The sequence below is a fragment of the Homo sapiens genome, chromosome 8, assembly GCF_000001405.40.
Source record: "Homo sapiens chromosome 8, GRCh38.p14 Primary Assembly".
Classification (NCBI taxonomy): Eukaryota; Metazoa; Chordata; class Mammalia; order Primates; family Hominidae; genus Homo; species Homo sapiens.
The window spans coordinates 95,103,798-95,127,823 of record NC_000008.11 but is presented as its reverse complement, the minus strand read 5'-3'; the positions used below and the strand labels follow the sequence as shown (position 1 = coordinate 95,127,823).

The 24,026-nt window shown below is 41.9% G+C and overlaps 1 protein-coding gene across 2 annotated transcripts in view, besides 5 other annotated features; it reads right to left on the bottom strand.

Moving 5' to 3' along the window:
• Window positions 6,651–6,860: an enhancer, noted in NCBI's record as "active region_27647". NCBI's record gives its function as "activates an Ori minimal core promoter by ATAC-STARR-seq in GM12878 lymphoblastoid cells {active_cell/tissue: GM12878}" and the evidence as "EXISTENCE:reporter gene assay evidence [ECO:0000049][PMID:35858748]".
• The window catches only part of NDUFAF6 (NADH:ubiquinone oxidoreductase complex assembly factor 6), a 222,698-nt gene continuing 207,999 nt past the window's right edge, over window positions 9,328–24,026 (bottom strand). For both annotated transcript variants that reach the window (NR_148914.2, NR_148913.2), the window contains 3 exons: window positions 17,971–18,080; window positions 12,087–12,288; window positions 9,328–11,554 (listed from right to left, as the gene is read on the bottom strand). The gene's annotated coding sequence lies outside the window, so the exon portion shown is untranslated. The remainder of the gene's footprint in view (window positions 11,555–12,086; window positions 12,289–17,970; window positions 18,081–24,026) is intronic.
• Window positions 9,993–10,042: an enhancer, noted in NCBI's record as "active region_27646". NCBI's record gives its function as "activates an Ori minimal core promoter by ATAC-STARR-seq in GM12878 lymphoblastoid cells {active_cell/tissue: GM12878}" and the evidence as "EXISTENCE:reporter gene assay evidence [ECO:0000049][PMID:35858748]".
• Window positions 11,799–11,888: a silencer, noted in NCBI's record as "silent region_19380". NCBI's record gives its function as "represses an Ori minimal core promoter by ATAC-STARR-seq in GM12878 lymphoblastoid cells {active_cell/tissue: GM12878}" and the evidence as "EXISTENCE:reporter gene assay evidence [ECO:0000049][PMID:35858748]".
• Window positions 12,269–12,388: an enhancer, noted in NCBI's record as "active region_27645". NCBI's record gives its function as "activates an Ori minimal core promoter by ATAC-STARR-seq in GM12878 lymphoblastoid cells {active_cell/tissue: GM12878}" and the evidence as "EXISTENCE:reporter gene assay evidence [ECO:0000049][PMID:35858748]".
• Window positions 18,046–18,115: an enhancer, noted in NCBI's record as "active region_27644". NCBI's record gives its function as "activates an Ori minimal core promoter by ATAC-STARR-seq in GM12878 lymphoblastoid cells {active_cell/tissue: GM12878}" and the evidence as "EXISTENCE:reporter gene assay evidence [ECO:0000049][PMID:35858748]".

The following is a 24,026-nucleotide window of genomic DNA, read 5'->3' as shown; positions in this document are numbered from 1 at the left end:
GAGAAAACTCACATACATAAAGGATAAAGCAAATGGAGTAAAATGTTAATGGGTAAATCTGGGTAGAGGGTATATGAATGTTCCTTATATTATTTCTACTTTTGCAACCTGTCTGTAAGTTTGAAACTATTTCCCAAAAAACAGTTAAAATATATAAAGCACTAAATAAACTACTCTGAATAATGCAAGACAAACTAGGATAGTTGTTGTAAATATTCAGTCTCAAAATGGACCTAAACTGACTGTTACATGATTAAACAGCAATACATTTTACACTTTTTTTCTAATTCCCCAGAGAACAGAAAGTGAATTTACTGTTTTTACAGAAGACAAGATGTTCCCTGGCTATAGGAAAATAACCCATCGTACACACAGCATCTTTTTAAGCATTTCAATATGCAACATTTGTGGCTTTGCTGCCCACTGTGACCTGCGACCCAGTTTGGCACAACCATATTTGCTGCAAATCCTGGACTGCATGAAGTGGGATCAGATATTATATTCCTTATAAAATTCATTATGTAAAGAGAATAATCCAACATATAGCCTCATCCCCAAATTGCAGCATCACATACTTTTTGCTTTGAAGCAAAAAGGCCCTGGGCATGGAAATACAGTTCTGTGCCTTTTTGTTTGTTTGTTTGTTTGTTTTTTTCAGACAGAGTCTCGCTCTGTTGCCTAGGCTGGAATGCAGTGGCTCTCTGCCACTTCCACCTTCCAGGTTCAAGCCTCCCAAGTAACTGGGATTATAGGTGCCCTCCACAATGCCTGGCTAATTTATTTTTTGTATTTTTAGTAAAGACGGGGTTTCACCATGTTGGCCAGGCTTGTGTCAAACTCCTGACCTCAAGTGATCTGCCTGCCTCAGCCTCCCAAAGTGCTGGGATTATAGGCATGAGTCACCATGCCCGGCCAGTTCTGTGCCATCTTATCAAAGACCCTTATAGTCAGCTCTTAGAAAACCGTTTAGAAAAGTTTCCCAGTTAAATGACATAGAAGGTTCCTTTAAATATATTGCAAAACCAGGCATGGTGGCTTGTACCTGTGATCCCAGCTACTCAGAAGGCTGGGGTGGTAAGGATCTCTTGAGCCCAGGAGTTCAAGTGCAGCCTGAGCAACATAGCAAGACCGTCTCTAAAATATATACATATTGCAAGACCCTGTCTCTAATATATATATATATACACACACACACATATATCTAATATATGTATATATATAGCTAATATATGTATATATATGTATAATAGCAAAAAAAAAATCCTCTGTGCTCTGCCTATTCACCTCTCCCTTCCCCCAACACCTGGCAACCACTGATCTTTTCACTGTCTTTCTGTATATATATATATGTAGTATATATATACACACACACACATATATAGCATATATATGTACTCCTATATATATAGCATATATATATCATTCATATATATATGTATATATAGTGCATATATATATAGAGAGAGAGAGAGCAAGACAGTGAAAAGATCAGTGGTTGCCAGGTGTTGGGGGAAGGGAGAGGTGAATAGTCAGAGCACAGAGGATTTTTTTTTTTTTTGACAGAGTTTTGCTCTTCTTGCCCAGGCTGGAGTGCAATGGCGTGATCTTGGCTCACTGCAACCTCCACCTCCCGGGTTCAAGCAATTCTCCGGCCTCAGCCTCCCGAGCAGCTGGGATGCACCACCACGCCCAGCTAATTTTGTGTTTTTAGTAGAGATGGGGTTTCTCCATGTTATGTTGGTCAGGCTGGTCTCAAACTCTTGACCTCACGAGAGCAGCCTGCCTTGGCCTCCCAAAGTGTTGGGATTACAGGTGTGAGCCACCATGCCCAGCCGCACAGAGGATTTTTAATAAAACAACTCCATATGATACTGTAATGGTAAACACATACCATCAGACATTTGCCCAAACCCATAGAATGTACACCACTAAGAGTGAACCCTAACATAAACTGTGGTCTTTAGGTAATATTGACTTGTCAGTGTAGATTCATAGATTGTATGAATAACAACTGTATCACTCTGGTGTAGGATGTTGATAGTAGAGGAGGCTGTGTGTTTTGGGGGTCAGGGGATATAATGGGAACTCTGAACTTTCTACTCAATATTACTGTGAATATAAAACTGCTCCAAAAATAAAATCCATTCAAAAAAAATGACACACATGTCTCTTGGAGAGGTTGAAATTTAAGCTTGGAGAGTCATTTGAGAAATTTTTTGGCAGGCAATTAAATTCATCACTTGAAAGATTTATTGTAATCATTTTCCTTCGGCAACTGCTCTTTTAACCATCTGTCAAGCTATTTCACCTTAGAATCAAAAAGTGATGTTTAAATTTGAACTGAGATACTTACCAATATTTTTAAAAATTAAATTTTCTTGGCAGAAATTTGATCTTGATCTTGGGAGTTTTAACATAAAAATCTAGTATACGTTGCATCCTGTGAATTTTTCCAACAATCAATATAAATTGAGTATTTGCCTTACTGCAAACTAAGTTTATATATTTCTAAAAGGGACATCATTTACTTGTCATATCGGAAACTAAGGAACTAGGTTTATAATCACCTCTGTCCTATCAAAAACATAAGACTTAATACCCTACAATAAAATACATTATAAGTAGATTAGTAAATTATGTGTAAAATATGTAAACTTGAGTATAAAAAATCCATATAAAATACACCACTCTATTAATTTTTTTTCTCTGACTAGCATGCTTCTTTTCCTTTTTTCTTCTTTGTATCTAGCCAATCTTCTATAATAAGTGTGTATTGTTTTATTTTTTAGAAAAACACAAGGCACAATCATGGGTACATTTTGGATCCAATTCAAATACTCATTCACAAAAATACACAATAGCTGCTTTATTAGTCCATTTTCACGTTGCTGATAAAGACATACCCGAGACTGGGAAGAAAAAGAGGTTTAATTGAACTTACAGTTCCACATGGCTGGGGAAGCCTCAGAATCATGGCGGGAGACAAAAGGCACTTCTTACATGGTGACAGCAAGAGAAAATGAGGAAGATGCAAAAGCGGAAACCCCTAATAAAACCATCAGATCTCATGAGACTTATTCACTACCACAAAAACAGTATGGGGGAACTGCCCCCATGATTCAAATTATCTCCCACTGGGTTTCTCCCACAATACATGGGAATTCTGGGAATACAATTCAAGATGAGATTTGGGTGGGGACAAAGCCAAACCATATCATTCTGCCCCTGGACCCTCCAAATCTCATGTCCTCACATTTCAAAACCAATCATGCCTTCCCAACAGTCCCTCAAAGTCTTAACTCATTTCAGCATTAACTCAAAAGTCCTCACTCCAAAGTCTCATCTGAGACAAGGCAAGTCCCTTCCGCCTATGAGCCTGTAAAATCAAAAGCAAGCTAGTTACTTCCTAGATACAATGGGGGTACAGGTATTGGGTAAATCTGTTCCAAATGGGAGAAATTGACCAAAACAAAGGGGTTACAAGGCCCATGCAAGTCTGAAACCCAGCAGGACAGTCAAATTTTAAAGCTTCAGAATGATCTCTTTTGACTCCAGGTCTCACATTCAGGTCATGCTGACACAAAAGGTGGGTTCCCATGGTCTTGGGTAGCTCCACCCCCGTGGCTTTGCAGAGTAAGCCTCCCTCCTGGCTGCTTTCACAGGCTGGCATTGAGTGTCTGTGGCTTTTCCAGGTGCATGATGCAAGCTGCCGGTGGATCTACCATCCTGGGATCTGGAGAATGGTGGCCGTCTTCTCAGAGCTCCACTAGGCAGAGCCCCAGTGGGGGATCTGTGTCAGGGCTCTAATCCCACATTTCCCTTCTGCACTGCCCTAGCAGAGGTTATCCTTGAGGGCCTCTGCCCTGCAGCAAACTTCTGCCTGGGCATCCAAGCATTTCCATACTCCTCTGAAATCTAGGTGGAGGTTCCCAAACCTCAATTCTTGACTTCTGTGCACCTGCAGGCTGAACACCACATGGAAGCTGCCACAGCTTGGGGCTTCCACCCTCTGAAGCCACAGCCCGAGCTCTACATTGGCCCCTTTCAGCCATGGCTGGAGTGGCTGGAATACAAGGCACCAAGTCCCTAGGCTACACACAGCATAGGGACCCTGGGCCTGGCCCATGAAACCACTTTTTCCTCCTGGGCCTCTGGGCCTGTGATGGGAGGGGCTGCTGTGAAGGTCTCTGACATGGCCTGCAGATATTTTCCCTATGGTCTTGGGGATTAACATTAGGCTTCTTGCTACTTCTGCAAATTTCTGCAGCTGGCTTGAATTTTTCCTCAAAAAATGGGTTTTTCTTTTCTACTGCATCATCGGGCTGCAAATTTTCTGAACTTTTATGCTGTTTCCCTTATAAAACTGAATGCCTTTTATAGTATCCAAGTCACCTCTTGCGTGCTTTGCTGCTTAGAAATTTCTTCCACCAGATACCCTAAATCATGACTGTCAAGTTCAAAATTCCACAAATCTCTAGGGCGGGGGCAAAATGTCACCAGTCTCTTTGCTAAAGCATAACAAGAGTCACCTTTGCTCCAGTTCCCAGCAAGTTCCTCATCTCCATCTGAGACCACCTCAGCCTGGACCTTACTGTTCATATTGTTATCAGCATTTTGGCAAAGCCATTCAATAAGGTTCTAGGAAGTTCCAAACTTTCCCACATTTTCCTGTCTTCTTCTGAGCCCTCCAAACTGTTCCAACCCTCTGCCTGTTACCCACTTCCAAAGTCGCTTCCACATTTTCGGGTGTCTTTTCAGCAGTGCTCCACTCTACTGGTACCAATTTAGTATATTAGTCCGTTTTCACGCTGCTGATAAAGACATACCCGAGACTGGAAAGAAAAAGAGGTTTAATTGGACTTACAGTTCCACATGGCTGGGGAGGCCTCAGAATCACGGTGGGAGGCAAAAGGCACTTCTTACATGGCAGCAGCAAGAGAAAATGAGAAGGAAGCAAAAGTGAAAACCCCCGATAAACTCATCAGATCTTGTGAGACTTATTCACTATCAAGAGAACAGCAAGGGAAAGACCGCCCCCGTGATTCAATTACCTCCCCCTGGGTCCCTCCCACAACACATGGGAATCCTGGGAGATACAATTCAAGTTGAGATTTGGGTGGGAACACAGCCACACCATACCAGCTGCTTTCTTCCATAGAAAATTTCTAAATTATTGGAACATTACCTCCCCTGCCATTAGAGGAAAAATACACAGCAAATGCTGTATTCCTCAACATTAAATCCTATAAATGGCAAAACATTAACCTCAACAAGCAGTTATTTAACAAGCTTATGTCCTATGAAACTAGCTCAAAATAAGTATAAAATCTGCAAAGTTAGAACACTGTATTAGGTTTTTAAAAATTGGTGCCAGATTAAATAAAATTCAGCAGAAACCTTAAATCCAAATGTTGCCAAGTGAATCTATTTAAAAAGCAAGCCGGGCTGGGTGTGGTGGCTCACGCCTGTAATCCCAGCACTTTGGGAGGCCAAGGCGAGCAGATTGCCTGAAGTCAGGAGTTCAAGACCAGCCTGGCCAACAAGATAAAACCCTGTCTTTACTAAAAATACAAAAATTAGTTGGGCATGGTGGCACACACCTGTAGTCCCAGCTACTCAGGGGGCTGAAACAGGAGAACTGCTTGAACCTGGGAGGCGGAGGTTGCAGTGAGCTGAGATCACACCAGTGCACTCCCACCTGGGCAACAGAGTGACACTCTATCTCAAAATAAATAAATAAATAGCAATATATTTTTCTAGAGTACTCGCATAAATATGTCATTTATATTCCCATGCAAATACATGAAATTTAAGCATGATTTTATTTTTAAAATGTATTTTTAAATAAAAACTTTTATAGTTTAAAGCCAGAGAGACCTAGATTCAAAATCTGATTCTATAAGTTTTTAGTTGGCTAACTCTGTGTAAGTGGCTTAATTGCTCTGCACCTCAATTTCTTTCTTTCTTTTTTTTTCTCAGACTCCCAAAGTGCTGGGATTACAGGCGTGAGCCACCACGCCTGGCCTGCACCTCAGTTTCTTTATTTGTAAAATTTATAAAATGAGGAAAACAGTCCCTATCCCCTATGATTATAAAGATTAGTGATAATATTAAGCAAAGCACACAGCACGGCACCTAGCAAATAGTAGATGCTCAATAAACAGAGGATGTGTTGACAATAGTTGCAGTAGCAAATGTTGCTGCTGTTGAAATTACTAAGAAAATATAAATTTTTGCCACTCATGTGAAAAGGCAGAAAGTGGTATATTAATCCTTGATGTGTCTGATTCACAGGTCCCTGGCCAATTCTTGCAAAGGTCTTTCCACCATCTTTGTGCCTCTTCAATGACTTTATATTCCTGAAGTTGAGAACTCACAAGGGCTGTTCACAAACAGGACAAATGCCATGTGAACACACCGTCATTCAGTTGTAGCCACCCAATCCCACTCCTCACCTGGTCTCCCTTTGACTCTGTGTGAAGCTATCCCCTACACTCATCTCCAGCCCTGACTTCTACCCAAATTCACCCACGTTTCTCCACTTCTTAGCTCAAATTCAGCCACCAGGCCTGGTGGGCACCAGGACAGGCAGGCATGGCTGGATAGAGGGGAAGGTGGCTGGACCAATAGTGCCTCAAAGAAGGGTCTGTGTTCCTTGCAGAGCAGTTTGCCCATTCTACCTCAATTGGGCCTCAGCACATACAATCGCCATTGCATTATGACTCACACATAAGGCAAATCATCTTTTAGGAAAGGAAACCAAAATTTGGAAATGAAACTAAGGGCAAGGCAGCCAAGAAACAGGGAACAGAGGCAAAAGGCAGAGAGGCTTATAGCCAGAGACCACAGGACTTGGTGCAAAGGTCTGTTTCTAAAACGAGGGCCAAAATTCCTAAGTGTTAGAAAGGAAATTTTGATCTGGAAAACACTAAATTAAATAGCTTTCTGATGGCGATGCAAAGTTACGAATGGCCTCTTCCCACTATGCAACACCTTCTTCCCACTTTCTCCGTTTACTGAACTTTTCTCCTGTTGTTTCTCTCCCATTTCATCTCCAGCATATCTTCACCTTATTTTCACCTTGTCTCTGCTTTCCTACAAGAAGAGTCTTGTTACACATTCAACTTTCCCAGAAATGGAGCACTGTGGTTGTAAAGAGAAATAAAAATATGTTCATCATGAATTTGAAGACCAAAATTATCATGGAAATCTTCCACTTGGGGATAAGGTTGGAGTGGAAAGAAAATATAGAGTAAATTCATCTTATTTATTTATATATAAATTCATTCATTTATTTACAAATATCTATTGCCTGCTATGAACTAAGTATTGTTCCTAGAGTTGGGGATGGCCTGGGGTAGGGCAGGTAGGAGAAACAGACAGAGTCCCTGTCCTCATGGAGCTCACATTCTAGCAAGGAGAGAAAAGACAGACAGTGGTGAGTACAATAAAGGAAATAAAGATGATAGGCAGCATGATGTCACCTAGGAATCAAGAATCATTTGACATACTTAGTTTGAAACATCTATTAGTGATCTCACATAGCAATATCAAGTCTAGAGTGAGGGGAGAGATCAGGACTGAAAATACAAATTTGAGCATTGTCTACAAAGAGATGGGGAAGGAGAATAGAGTTAAGGGTGCTTGCAAGAAAATCTTAAGAATAAAATCTTTCAAAATCAAAGATACAAAGATGAACGAATATAATCTGTCTGTTATGAACTGAATATTTGTGTCACCCCCAAATTCATGTTAGAATCTTAACCCCCAATGTGATAGAATTAGGAGTTTGAGCCTTTGAGAGTTAATGAGGTCATTAATGGGACTAGTCATAAATGGGACTAGTGCCCTTATATAAAGGACCCCAGAGAGCTCTCTCAGCCTCTTTCCACAATGGGAGGATCCAAGAAGCAGGCAGTATACAACTCTTGCCAGAACCCAACTATGTTGGAACCCTGATTTGAGACTTCCAACTTCCAGAAGTGTAAAAAATATGTTTCTGTTGTTGATAAGCCACCCAGTTTATGGTATTTTGTTATAGCGCCCAAACTAAGAAACTATTATAAGAAATGATGCTTTATGGAGATACCATCTCACACCAGTTAGAATGGCAATCATTAAAAAGTCAGGAAACAACAGGTGCTGGAGAGGATGTGGAGAAATAGGAACACTTTTACACTGTTGGTGGGACTGTAAACTAGTTCAACCATTGTGGAAGTCAGTGTGGCGATTCCTCAGGGATCTAGAACTAGAAATACCATTTGACCCAGCCATCCCATTACTGAGTATATACCCAAAGGATTATAAATCATGCTGCTATAAAGACACATGCACACATATGTTTATTGCGGCACTATTCACAATAGCAAAGACTTGGAACCAACCCAAATGTCCAACAATGATAGACTGGATTAAGAAAATGTGGCACATACACACCATGGAATACTATGCAGCCATAAAAAATGATGAGTTGATGTCCTTTGTAGGGACATGGATGAAGCTGGAAACCATCATTCTCAGCAAACTATCGCAAAGACAAAAAACCAAACAGCCCCATGTTCTCACTCATAGGTGGGAATTGAACAATGAGAACACATGGACACAGGAAGGGGAACATCACACACCGGGGCCTGTAGTGGGGTGGGGGTAGTGGGGAGGGATAGCATTAGGAGATATACCTAATGTTAAATGACGAGTTAATGGGTGCAGCACACCAACATGGCACATGTATACATATGTAACAAACCTGCACGTTGTGCACATGTACCCTAAAACTTAAAGTATAATTTAAAAAAAAATGATGCTTTATGCTCAAAGGTGTTTTTTGCAGTATTCTAATACCATTAATAAGTGGGAAACACTAAACGTCTATTTGAGAGCAGTTGAATACTTTGTCACAATGAAATATTATGCAGTAATTCGAAGTCTTTACTAAGACTTCTGATAGAAAAGGGATACATTTATATTATAATACTAAGTGATAAAAACTACAAACCTATCTATATAGCATGATAACAATATATAAAAAATATCAATAAAAAAAGAACAGGACAGCTACTCGAGAGGCTGAGGCAGAAGAATCACTTGAACCTGGGAAGCAGAGGTTGCAGTGAGCCAAGATTGTGCCACTGCACTCTGGCCTGATGACAGAGAGAGACTCCATCTCAAAAAAAAAAAAAAAAAAAAAAAAGAACAGGAGAAATTACATAAAAGGGTAACCATAGTAATTTTTTTTAAAGTCTTTTCTATATTGTCTACAATTCCCATTTTATTAATCAGCTTAGGCTAGGCTGATGGTGAGGCAACAAAAAACACTGGACATCTCAATGGCTTAACACATAAAATTTATTTCTCACCCAAAGTCAGCTGTAAGTTAGGTGCAGTAGATAATAAAAGATAACCATTATTAATACTTTCCCACTCTGTGACATATGCTACTCATTGCACCAACGTTAGGAGTCTAATTCCCCTCCCTTTGAACCTGAACTGGCCTTAGTGACTTGCCTTGACCAACAGAATATGGCAGCAAGGATGTTCCAGGACATCCAGGGGTAGCTTGTAAGAAGCTTTTTGAATCCCATCTTGGTCTCTTGGAATACTCACTCTTGGGATGCATCTGGTGGGAACCCAGAACCCATGCAGTGAGACTCTAAAGCCACATAGGTGCTCCAGTTGACAGCTTCCTTACACTCAGTCAATAGCCAGCATTAATTACAGCCAGACAAGTGAGCCACTTTGGAGATCCAGATCAGATGAGTTGTTAGGGTGACTGCAGCTCCAGTCAACACCTGACGGCAATCAGATGAAAGACCCAAGCAAGAACTGCCGAGCTTAGCCCAGTCAGCCGACACAGAATCATAAGAGATAATAGTAAATTGTTGCTTGAAACTACTAAGTTTTTTGGGGAGTTTGAACACATGGAAATCAATAACCAGAACATCTACTGGCTCTCCAAAGCAGCTGATATCCATGCAGTGACTCAGTGATCCAGGCTGCTTTGTTCTTACAACTCCACCATCTTAATATCTGGCCTCCACTATCACTCTGAAGGAGAAGAGAGAACTGAAAGTTTGCATAGGAATTTTTGCTGCCTTGGCCCGGAAGAGACATATGTCATTTTTGTCCACAGCCTAGTCATACGGCCTGTCTAACTAAAAGGAAAGCTAAGAAGTGCAGTCTTCCTGCACCCAGGAAGGAGAAAAAATGATACACTGGTGAACACTGGTAATATCTGTCAAGTCTGTGCATTGCGTTCACTTTTTAATTGTGAAATATTCCAAACATAACAAAAGTGCAATGCCCAAAATAACAGGCATTCATCTACTCACTATCCAGACATTTAACTTGTACAACCACACACACAAAAAAAGCTTTATTTGTAAAAAGATTATTGGATATTAAATATCCCTGGAGAGCTTTCTGTGGATGTTGGGTGATAATCGCTGACTAAAGTCTTTCAAAGATTTCAAGTTCAGACTCTTTAAAATCCACTCTCACTCCTCAGCCCACCTTTCCAGGGACCTCACAGTTTTTCTACCAGTACACTCAATAGAGAGTGTTGGTATTTTTTGCCTCCTTGCATCCATTTACTCTTTCTAAAACAACACCCTAATTTTCCTTTGCATAACCATTCAAACCCACTCTCAGCAAGGCAAGCATAATCTGGATGGGATTAATTCCCCCGCAACTCCAGTGATGAGCTGATCTATGCTCAGCAGGGTATCCCATGCTCCTGGATACAGCCACCAGTCCCATTAGTATGAAGCCCAGGAATTTATCTGACATCTGAGGGCAGAGAGGTTCTCTCTCTTGCTGTCATGAACAAGGAAACATATGATCCCAGGACTGTTGGCATCTGCTTTGGGACTCTGAAGGAAGACTGCCCTAGGATGCAGTTCATACAGTGGAAGCCAGAACAAAGAGAGGAAAAGAAACAAGATCCTTAATCAAGCCTTATCTAGAGCCTGAACTGCCTCCTGACTTTTTAGGTGAGACCATGAATTCTTTTTATTGTTTAAGTCAGCGTAAGTTGGGTTTTCTGTTGATTTCAACCAAGGCTTCTAACTAATAGTGTCAACACAATAATCCAGTCACACAGAGTCACTTTCAGTTCTCTTAAATACATGTACTTTTTACTTCAAAATATGGTTAAACTCAGCCTTCAATGTGGTTAGGCTGGGCACAGTGGCTCACACCTGTAATTCCAGCACTTTGGAAGGCCGAGGCAGGAGGATCACTTGAGTGCAGAAATTCAAGACTAGCCTGAGCAACACAGCAAGACCCCGTCTCTAAAAAAAAGAAAAATTAGCTGGTTGTGTTGGCATTCACCTGTAGTCCCAGCTACTTGGGGGGCTGAGGTGGGAGGATCGCTTGAGCCCAGGGGGTTGAGGCTGCAGTGAGCCATGATCGCACCACTGCACTCCAGCCTGGATGACAGAGCAAGATCCTATCTCAAACAAAACAAAACAAAAAAGTAGCGAGTACAGTCACTTGTAAAAAGCATGATCCAGGCCCCAGTGATCATGGCTGAAGAACAAATCACCATCTGCGGCATCTAGAAAAAAAAAAAAAAACTTTAAAAACTGAGAATATTCCAGCTGTTGAGCATTCCTTAAGTGTTGGCTTGTAGACATCTGTCACTTTTGTTTGTTCGTTTTTTTGGTTTTGTTTTGTTTTGTTTTGTTTTGAGATGGAGTTTCGCTCTTTCGCCCAGGCTGGAGTGCAGTGGCGCGATCTTGGCTCACTGCAACCTCCGCCTCCCCGGTTCAAGCGATTCTTCCGCCTCAGCCTCCCGAATAGCTGGGATTACAGACACGTGCCACCACCCCCGGCTAATTTGTGTGTTTTTGGTAGAGACGGGTTTTCACCATGTTGGTCAGGCTGTTCTCTAACTGCTGACCTCAGGGGATCCACCCGCCTCAGCCTTCCAAAGTGCTGAGATTACAGGCGTGAGCCACCGCGCCCGGCGGACATGTGTCATTTTAGGGCACCTGCCTGAACAAGTGAGCAGCTCTCACACTCTGAGGTCACACCTTCTCTCAAAACTATCTGCCAAGCAGTCATGTTTGGAGCAACTGAAAAGATACCTTGAAGCTGCGTAAAGACCCTCATCCGAGGTCTGACAGCTCGCGTATGTGAAATACGTGGCTAGAAAAGCCTCGACTGAGTCAAAGTTATGCTTCTAACTTCCTGATGCAGTCGTTTGAATGGAGAAGTGTGCGTTCCTCTGAGTATGTGCAAGAGAGCTCCAACCAGTGTGGCTGAGTCAACTGGAGAAAGTTTCAAGGACTGAAAAAAAAAAAAAGAAGGGAAATGGAGAAACAGTTTTCAATCAGAGAAGCAAGACTCTTCCTTCTCCTGTTATAACTCTGTCATCTTCTCACCACATTTAAACAGCTAGAGAAGTCTCCAAGAAATGATAATATAACATTTAAAAGTTGCCAAGGGATGCCTTCCAGAAATAGCATAGTAAGTGGAACATGTGGCTTGCAGTCATCTCAGTCATACAGATCCATCTTTTCTTGGGTCACTATAATTTTTCCTTCTCTCCTTCCTAAATAAGACCCTTCAGCCTTCTTGGTGCTGACAAATATTGAGGTGTTCAAGACAAACTTTTTAGACTCCAGTAGAAATGATGAATAAATTAGATTGATTAAACATAAAAAGAATTTTTGAAGAGTTGGCAATTTGGCAAGTTGAGTACATGATTTGCTTGGCCCTTCAAATGCAAGCCTATCTCAATAGACACTTTTTTTTTTTTTTTTTAAACAGTCTCGCTCTATCCCCCAGGCTGGAGTGCAGTGGTGTGATCTCAGCTCACTGCAACCTCCGCCTCCCAGGTTCCAGCGATTCACCTGCCTCAGCCTCCCGAGTAGCTGGGATTACAAACACCTGCCACCACGCCTGGCTAATTTCGAGACGCTTTCACGTATTATTTTCTGCAAATCTCAGGAGAACATTTATATTAGCTTATTTTTCATTTCAGATCTAATTTGAAGCACTGGTATCAAAGTCCATTTCACAAATCTCAACAATATGTTAAAGAAAACCATACCTGACTTTTTTGTTAATGTTGCTATTTTAATCTCACAGAAAGAAAAATATGGGAAAAGGAAAGAACATAATTATCACCTGTATATACCGGGTGAATGAAAGAGATTATAGAACAGTGGTAGAAAATATATACAGAAAGTCAGCAAGATGACTCATAAGTACAGTCACTGAAATAGCTCAGCTTTTGTATACGGTGTGACAGATCTGCCAACAACTAACTAATGGAATAGAATAATGAATCACTTGGGACTAAAGTTATTTAAAAGTTCCTGTGAAGTACACCTCCATAGGCAGTTCCAGAAAATGCCATTGACTTTCAGCAAACATGGCTTTTGGTATAAGCGGGGAAATCACAGGAAAGTCACTTACTGGTGAACTCACAGCACCAGCTGCTTTTGCGGTCCTGTGGGCCTCCCTCACATTCACCTCCACCTGCCTGTCAGGGAACCACTGGGGTTCAGTGGTTAAACTTCTGGGACCATGCCTCTGGCTAAGGGTGAGGCACCCACTCCCCACCCTTCTCCTTTCTTCTCTTGTGCAAGCCTCAGGCCACTGAGGGCCCTTCTCCCTTTAAAGACAACACCATTCATTTTTTGTTTGTTTGTTTTATTATTATTATACTTTAAGTTTTAGGGTACATGTGCATATTGTGCAGGTTAGTTACATACGTATACATGTGCCATGCTGGTGTGCTGCACCCACTAACTCGTCATCTAGCATTAGGTATATCTCCCAATGCTATCCCTCCCCCCTCCCCCCATCCCACAACAGTCCCCAGAGTGTGATGTTCCCCTTCCTGTGTCCATGTGATCTCATTGTTCAATTCCCACCTGTGAGTGAGAATATGCGGTGTTTGGTTTTTTGTTCTTGCGATAGTTTACTGAGAATGATGGTTTCCAATTTCATCCATGTCCCTACAAATTTTGAGACGGAGTCTCTCTCTGTCCCCTAGGCTGGAGTGCAGTCGTGCCACCTCAGCTCACCGCAACCTCTCTGCCTCCCGGGTTCATGTGATTCTTGCCAGTGGCACTCATTTTATCTCTGACTTCTCTTCTCTAGTCCAAGGATGGAGGTGCAGATTGCTTGTCCAATGCAGTCTTTGCTCTTTCCTAACAAAAGCACTTATTTCCTTTCCTGGCTAAGCCTTCACTGCAGATGACCTCAGGAAGGCAAGCAGGGCTTGAAGGCAAGAAGAGTCAATGCAGGAAAGCCTCAGGGCTTAAGAAATCCCGCCAAGTTCTCACCTCCCGGAACCTGGATACAATTCCTGACCCCTGGAAGGTCCCTCAGACTCTGCGTACTCTGCACCTCACTGTATCATAAGCTCTGAGCTCTCCTCTCCCTGGGATGGGGATGGCGCAGAGTTGATCATTCCTCCATGAGACCTCCCTCCCAGCGCTTATACCTGCAGCTCCAGTGGGGACTGAATGATGAGTCAGCTACTATCCCCTCTGGCACCATTTGTCTGAAGTAAATAATTTAATTTTCGAAGGCCCCTAGACTGATGACACATCTTTTTTAAGTATTCCCTACTCCATAGAGAAATGATTCTCTCCAGGATTTTCCTCACACTCCCCACAAAAAATCAGACTAAAGTCAGGCCACCAGGTTTCCAGCCCTTCCTCTGCCACTTGCTTACAACCTGTGTGACCTCCGGCACATCACTGAACTTCAGTCAGTCTCAGTTTCCTCACCCGTAGGACTGTGGTGGTCTCAAAGAGATCGTCTACTCAGCACAGGCCCTGGTATACAGTGAGAATTAACACCAGGAGTCTTGCCAATATCTGCTGGCCAGGATCCAGCACCTAAGGGGGCAATGCCTGGCCTGGCAGTGGGCCATCTGGACTTTGCTCCATCGTGGCAACTGGCGTCCATTCAGATTTGTCAGCCCATGGGGCATCCTGGTTGCTAAACATTTTTAATCTTAGTGCTGTTTGTTTTTAATCTTAATGTTTGTACTGTGTGTGCTAAAAGCAAAGTCACACAGAGAAATATATACTAATGGGTCATCAAAGCACTGGGGAGGAGAGAGAGGAATCGGCAGGAGCATGGAGGGACAGGAGGGAGCAGGATGGCAAGGTGTCTTTTGTCTGCAACGTGGTAGGCAAACAGGATCTTAATGGTTTATGGTGTAACAGAGGAGTGTAGGGAAGATTGTTGTGTTGGTTTCCTGTGGCTGCCAGAACAGATTGTCACAAACTGAATGGCCTAAAGACAATAGAAATCCACTCTCTCATAGTTTTAGAGGCCAGAACGTTCAAGCTCTCTCTGAAGTCTCCAGGAGAGAATCCTTCCTTGCCTTTCTAGCTTCTGGTGACTGTAGGAGTTCACTGGCTTGTGTCAGTGGAGCTCCAGTCTCCCCCGTGTGTCTCTGCATCTTAAATCTCCTCTGCCTTTCTCTTATAAGGACACCTGTCACTAGATTAGGGCCCACCCTAAACCCATGATGATCTCATCTTGAGACCTTTCATGTCATTGTATCTGCAAAGAACGGTTTTTTAAATAAGGTCAAATCCACAGGTTCTGGGGGTTCAGATTTGAACATATCTTTCTGAGGGCCACTATTCAACCCATTACAATTACATACAAAAGCAGAGGCCTTTGCACTCTTAGTCTTTAACTTAAGCACATATGCAAAGCCCCTTTGGCCATGTAAAATAGCATAATTAGGTTCCAAGGATTAGGAGGTGGACATCTTTGAGGGGCCATTATTCTGTCCGCCATAGTTGGAAGCATGGGTTTCTTTCTAAGAACAGTAGGAATCAATGGGAGGTTTTAAGCAGAGGAGTGAAACCAGCAGAATCAGGATGCAAAAGCAGAAGAACCATACTGGAAGCAGGGACAAAAGGCTTATCCATAGCTGGAGGATATAAAGTGAACATAGGAGCCCGCTAAACAGTATTTTAAAACTCATATAATATATGGTCATTTGTATGATAATGGTAAATAATATGTTTTTATTCTTTTATAGTCTGGGCTTGGTCTTTCTCAGTTAATCCTCTGAGGTTTTTATAAGGTCCTGAGTTCCAGGACCCCTTTGGTTATTGTTAGAGGTGGACAGCTGGCCATGGTGGATCCCAGATGACTATTTTGGTCAAGATACTGGTGCCCACGATGAGCAGGCAGGTGTGTGTGTGCCTGGAGGAATGCTGCTTTGGCAGGCACATTTCCACAACACCTTACCAAGGCACTACCTACACGAGCAAGATGTTGGAACCATCTCAAGAACAAGCAAATGGCTAAACAGCAAGAGGAAAGAATGTCATCAAACTATAATCCAGGAATGTGCAGTATGTGGCTTCTTGGAACCACTTTATAAACACCAAGTAAAAAGAGTGCACAGAATCGATCATACTGAGATTACACGTGTATTTAAAGGATACATATGTCAGTAAGGATTTGAATAGAGTTTTATATTTTCTGTGATGTTTGTGAAGTGTATTCCAACTTGTCTGTGCATCTGGCAACAGCTTCCTGTCTCTGATCTTGCATAGAGTTGCTCAGAATTGCCTGGAATGCCTTCCAATGACTCCTTTTGGCTTGCCTCTTCTTGCTCCTGTCTTCACTGGCCTTCTAATCTCATTCCTCTCTGCTTCATCTCTCCCTACCTATCTCAATGCTACTTGTTAGAATAAAAGTCTTGAGTTCGCTGGCTACCCCCTGGCTGCTCTTGGTGTCTCGGCTCCCCTGTCATTAAGTGTGGGTAAGAACCTCTGGCTTCCTGCCCAGGCCTTTAGGGTCAATCAAGCCAGGCCAGCCCACAAGGCTTCACCTCCAAGGAGGGGGATCAGCGAGTTGGGATGATAATTCCTTTCTAGCAATGCATTGCTTGGAGAAGTTACAAGTGATTTACCAATCAGCATAGGAAAGACTGCATTCAGCCAGAAATTTTCCATAGCAACAGAAATCTTGGAGCTGACTCTGAATTGTGGGATCCAGAAAGGACATTATCCAATAACACCTTGATGGAGCAAAATAAAGAGGGGAGGCAAATTTTCCTTTAGAAGATTGGATAACAACATGGTTCTAATGTAGAATTATCCATTATATCAATTTAACAGTTACAGAGGAGGCAGAAGAACATAAAAATTTAAAAGCACAAACTCTGGGCCCAGATTTTCTGGATTCAAATCCCAGCTTTGCTACTTACTGGCTGTTGTTTTTCAATCAGTGGCTTAACTTCTCTTTATCTTTGTTGCTACACCTCCACAATCAGGATAAGAATAGTATCTGCCTTATTGGGTTTTTTGAAGACTATAGAAAGCACTTAGAATAGTGCCTGGAACATAGAAGCACTCAATGTATGTTAGCTAACTTATTTTTACTGGAATGTGTCCAACACTGTACATCACTGATATTTGAAATGGCTTTGCTAGCCCATCTGGCTTCTTAAGTAAGTGGCACCCATGAACCATACCCTACAGAGCAATGAAATTGTGCCTGTAGATAAAGAGCTCCACAAAGGCATCTTGACAGTTGCTGGGTAAAAAGCTGAAGCATGTTCTGCCTGGTGCAGTTTGTTGTAGGCGAGATACTAATGAGATCACAGCTGTAGAATTAAATACATTCATTCTGTTCTGTGACTCCAAACTAAAGTATTTGCTCCTCCAACCATCTCTCAGGCATATGCCACTGCTCCTAAGGACAGCCAGTCACCATCATTGGCTATTATAGGACTAAGAGCACCATTATTGGAGAAACTGCCACAGGTCCACAGATAACACATAATGGATCATTAGAATATTCCTCCTAAATTAATAAGAATGCTTTTTACCACAATCCAGGGGATCAAATTAAGGTAATTCAAAGATGATAAAGAGGAGAAGAATACTTATAAGAACATACTGGTACACAACTTCACAATTTTTTTGTAAGTGTAGCAAAGTATTCCATACAAAGAGGCAGAAACAGACTCACCTGCATGATCTCGGATAAGTCATTTTCACTTTACCAATCTGAATTTCAGTTTCCTTATCAGCAAAGCAGGCAGGGGCTAGTCTAGGTGACCCAATGTAATCACAAAGGTCCTTATAAGAGAGAAGTAGGAAGTCCAGAGTCAGAAAAGGAAGATGTGATGATATAAGAAGAGGTCAAAGTGATATGGGGTCATGAGAAGACAAATGGACAGACATATGGGTTCATCATGAAGGTCTCTCTCTCTCTCTCTCTCTCTCTCTCTCTCTATCTATCTATCTAACGCTACATCTCTATCTATGATTACATTTTCTGCAAATCCACGCATTTATACATCTTATCATGGAATTGTAAGGCATTCTCTGAAGAGTACAAAGATTTCCAGATGCTCTTCCAATGGATAAACAGCCTGCATGGGAAGAAGTTAGATGAAGCTAAGAAAGAAGTTTGACTCAGGCCGTAAAGATCATACAGACCTTACAGACATCTCTGGATATTATTCTGTTGGCAGCACAAATCCATCAAATGTTTTACATTTGTTAATCGTTTATTTTGTTTTGTGAATTCTAAAAACGTTATAAAAGGACATGCCTGTACATTATGTTGGACAAATAGACTTTGATTTCTATTGCCCAACTAACTAATATTAAAGTTTTTGGAAGGACATTTTTAACAAGTGAGCTGAGAAGCTTTGGGGGGATTTAGTCTGAGGTGTTTGTTATCCTGAAAGAGCTTGGAGCTGGGAAAAATCCTGCAAATGGGATAAACTGTAAATTGTTTCTATATCTAACTCCACCCAAACATCACAAAATTTTTCACATATTGAGAAAAATGAAAAGAATAGTACAATGAATACCTGTATTCCACTTAGGTTCAATGATTAAAATGTTGCTACATCCACTCTATTTATCTATCTATTTTTATTGTGGTAAAATATACTTAACATAAAATTTACCATTTTAACCATTTAACTAATCAATATTGGAATCCCTGCTTTCAATTCTTTTGTGTACATACTCAGAAGTGGAATTACTAGATAAAATTGTAATTCTACATTTAATTTTTTGAGGAACTGACATACTGTTTTCCATAGCAGCTGTACCAATTTACATCCCACCAGCAAAGCACAAAGGTTCCAATTTCCCCATATCCACGCCAACACTGGTTGTTAAATGGACAGTTCAGTGGTCTTAAGTACATTCACACTGTGTGCAACCATCGCCACTATCCATCTCCAGAACTTTTTCATCATCCCAAGCAGAAACTTTCTACCCATTAAACAATAACTCCCAATTTGTCCCTTCCCCCAGGCCCTGGTAAGCACTGTTCTACTTTTTGTCTCTAGGTATTTGACTATTCTTCATACCTCATATAGGTGGAATCATGCCATATTTGTCCTTTTGTATCTGGCTTATTTTACTTAGTACAATGTCTTTGAGGCTCATGCATAATATGGCATGTATCAGAATTCCATCCCTTTTTAAGGCTAGGAAATATCCCATAGTATGTATGTACCACACTTTATTTAGCCAATTATTAATCAATAGATATTTGGGTTGTTTCCAAAACATTCCAAATAGTGCTGCTATGAACATGGGTGTAAAATATTTGAGTCCCTGCCTTCAATTCTTTAGTGTACATACCCAGAAGTGGAATTACTAGATAAAATTGTAATTCTATATTTAATTTTTTGAGTAACTGCCATACTGCTTTCCATAGCAGCTGTCCATTTTACATCCCACCAGCAAAGTACAAGGATTCCAATTGCCCCATATCCCACACCAACACTGGTTATGTACTGGTTTTTTGTCGTTGTTGTTTTTCTATGGTAGCCATCCTAATGGGTGTGAAGTGCCAGCCGATGTTTCCAAGATCATTTGGGTGGGAGGACTTGCCAACACAGCCTAACCAAACTCATGTGGCCCAGACAGTTGAATACTAGGAGGGCATCTTTCTCCATCTACTTCTGGTACTATCGAAGCTCCTAGGTCACAAATCCAAATGACTCCAGGTCATTCAGTTATACCCTCCCAAGCTCCTCTAGCTCCTGAAAGGCAGACTCATTCTGTGCCTTACATATGTCCTTGATGACTTCCTTGGTACCTTTAAAAACTCAATAATCTGTACTTACATTAACATTTTAAAAAAACACTTTTTAATAATAGCTTTACTCAGATACAATTATCATAAGATAAAATTCACCTTTTCAGAGTAACACTTTTTTTTTTATTACACTTTAAGTTCTAGGATACAAGTGCAGAACGTGCAGGTTTGTTACATAGGTATACACGTGCCATAGTGGTTTGCTGCACCCATCAACCCGTCATCTACATTAGGTATTTCTCCTAAAGCTATCCCTTCCCTGTCCTCCTACCCCTCCGACAGGCCCCGGTGTGTGATGTTCCCCTCCCTGTGTCCATGTGTTCTCATTGTTCAACTCCCACTTATTAGTGAGAACATGCATTGTTTGGTTTTCTGTTCTTGTGTTAGCTTGCTGAGAATGATGGTTTTCAGCTTCATCCATGTCCTTGCAAAGGACATGAACTCATCCTTTTTTATGGCTGTATAGTATTCCATGGTGCAGCCACATTTGCTTTATCCAGTCTATCATTGCTGGGCATTTGGGTTGGTTCCGAGTCTTTGCTATTGTGAACAGTGCTGCAAAAAACATATGCATGCATGTGTCTTTATAGTAGAATGATTTATTATCCTTTGGGTATATACCCAGTAATGGGTTGCTGGGACAAATGGTATTTCTGGTTCTAGATCCTTGAGGAATCACCACACTGTCTTCCACAATGATTGAACTAATTTATACTCCCACCAACAGTGTAAAAGTGTTCCTACTTCTCCACATCCTCTCCAGTATCTGTTGTTTCCTGACTTTTTAATGATCGCCATTCTAACTGGTGTAAGATGGTATCTCATTGTGGTTTTGATTTGCATTTCTCTAATGACCAGTGTTGATGAACTTTTTTTCATATGTTTGTTGGCCACATAAATGTCTTTTTTTGAGAAGTGTCTGTTCATATCCTTTGTCCACTTTTTGATGGGGTTGTTTGGTTTTTTTCTTGTAAATTTGTTTAAGCTCCTTGTAGATTCTGGATATTAGCCCTTTGTCAGATGGATAGATTGCAAAAATTTTCTCCCATTCTGTAGGTTGCCTGTTCACTCTGATGGTAGTTTCTTTTGCTGTGCAAAAGCTCTTTCACTTAATTAGATCCCATTTGTCAATTTTGGCTTTTGTTGCCATTGCTTTTGGTGTTTTCGTTATGAAGTCTTTGCCCATGCCTCTGTCCTGAATGATATTGCCTAGGTTTTCTTCTAGGGTTTTTATGGTTTTAGGTCTTATGTTTCAATCTTTAATCCATCTTGAGTTAATTTTTGTATAAGGTTTAAGGAAGGGGTCCAGTTTCAGTTTTCTGCATATGGCTAGCCAGTTTTCCCAACACCATTTATTAAATAGGAATCCTTTCCCCATTTCTTGTTTTTGTCAGGTTTGTCAAGGATCAGATGGTTGTAGATGTGCGGTATTATTTCTGAAGCCCCTATTCTGTTCCATACACTTTTTTTTTTTTTTTTGAGATGGAGTCTTGCTCTGTTGCCCAGGCTGGAATGCAGTGGGATGATCTCAGCTGACTGCAAGCTCCGCCTCCCATGTTCACGCCATTCTCCTGCCTCAGCCTCCCGGGTAGCTGGGACCACAGGTGCCTGCCACCATGCCTGGCTAATTTTTTGTATTTTTAGTAGAGATGGGGTTTCACCATGTTAGCCAGGATGGTCTTGATCTCCTGACCTCATGATCCGCCCACCTCGGCCTCCCAAAGTGCTGGGATTACAGGCATGAGCCACCGCACCTGGTCCATACACATATTTTTAAAGACAACTTTCTGGTTCCTATGATTAAGATGGTTGCCCCTAGGCCAGGCAAGGTGACTCATGCCTGTAATCCCCGCACTTCAGGAGATCAAGGCAGGAGGATCACTTGAGCACAGCAGTTCAAGACCAGCCTGGGCAACATAGCAAAACTCCATCTCTACAAAAAATACAAAAATTGGCCAGGTGTGGTGGTTCACGCCTGTAATCCCAGCAATTTGGGAGGCCAAGGCAGGCAGATCACGTGATCAGGAGTTCAAGACCAGCCTGGCCAACATGGTGAAACTCCGTCTCTAGTAAAAATACAAAAAATTAGCTGAACATGGTGGCGCATGTCTGTAATCCCAGGTACTCAGAAGGCCGAGGCAGGAGAATTGCTTGAGCCCAGGAGGCACTCCAGCCTGGGCAATAGAGCCAGACTCCATCTCAAAAACGAAACAAAACAAAACAAAAATTAGCTGGATGTGGTGGCACGCACCTGTAATCCCAGCTACTTGGGATGCTGAGATGGGAGGATCTCTGGAGTCCAGAAGGTTGAGGCTGCAGTGAGCCATGATTGCACCACTGCACTCCAGCCTGGGCAACAGAGTGAGACCCTGTCTCAAAAAAAAAAAAATGCGCCTAAATTCAGGGTCACTTTTTAGAAGAGGAGTATTTTGTGATAGAGCAACAGTGTGCTATACCTCAGCTAGACATCTGCTTACAGGCATGGCCAGCTGTCTTGGTCAGGCTCTCTTTGTTGATGGAAACAAAGACTTATTTATTCCTTAGAAAAAGGCCATTTATGATAAAGTTCTTTGTGAACAGAAGCTAGGAAGCCATCTGGAACTGAGGCTACTTTTTCTTTCTCTTGGGCTACGTGATCTCTCTCTCTCTCTCTCTCTCTCTCTCTCTCTCTCTCTCTCTCTCTCTCTGTGTGTGTGTGTGTGTGTGTGTGTGTTTCTCATAGCATCATTGCTTCTCTGTGCACTTCTGTTACACTCAAAAATTTGACTTGCTCTTACCCTCCATGGCCCCAATTCTAATCTTCTGTCTTTCTGGGCATCCTTTTGTTTCCTGATCCTGTCACTAACAACTTTATTCTCTCAGAGAGAAACTCTGGCTGCCGCAGCTCATCTTTCCCAGCCAGGCCACATGATCAGTGCTGACCAACCAATGTAGTGCTGCTCGAGGGTCAGGTGCCCAGCCTGGAACAATCTACCTTGCTGTGAGGGGGCTGCAGTCACATAACAAAAGAAACACAGAGGAAAGGGTGAAGAGAGCCCAATGGCAACTGCACACACAATGGAGTGTGTTACAGTGGGATGAGGAAGCCAAAGATTAGGAAGCATGACTCTTTTAGAATGGGCAGTTATAATGGCCTTTGCTCCAGAGGGGACACTATATCTTCCAAGGCTGTTCACTACATAAACATCCTTAGACGAGGCTGAGAAAGACAGTCCAGGACAAAAGGAAAGTCAGTACCTTTGTGTTTAAAGGTACTGACTTTGTGTTTAAGTGCAACTGTAAGATGCCTACTTTCATAGGGAGTTACAAATGTAAATGCGTACAGGGACCAGGCAAGTAGGTGTGTGAGCGAGGTGACTAGATATAAGAACTGGGAGTAGTGGGGATTGCAGAAGATAGGAGAGGCCATGCTCTATTTGAAACTGGCAGCCAATACTCAGTTCCAACTGATTATTTCCACGGAAGAATGAGGATCCCAAGTTGTTTCACCTCTTTTTTCCCAAAAGAACTAGGAAATGTGAATTTTTATGTGCTATATCACCCACCCTTTAAATGTTGGTAATGAATTAGAATTTAAAATACAGGTGCAGTGGCTCACAGCTTAATCCCAGTACTTTGGGAGGTGGAGGCAGGAGGATTGCTTGAGGTCAGGAGTTTGAGACCAGCCTGGGCAACATAGTGAGACCTTGTCTCTATCACATTAAAAAATAAAAATAAAATAATGTTAAGTGGCCAAGAGAAAACCCGAAGAAGCAGTGGTTGGAACTGATGGAGCAGCCTTATAAAGGAAGAAGCAGGCTCTGATAGACACCTGATCTCCCCCAAGTGGGTAGTTAAAGCCCTGGTTGATCACAGCCTTAATGGTAAGCCCAATCAATTAAGAGAACAAAAAGCTAGGGATTGTGGAGAGAACTCTGCTAGAATCACAATCCTGTCCTCTTGCCCTACTCCAACTT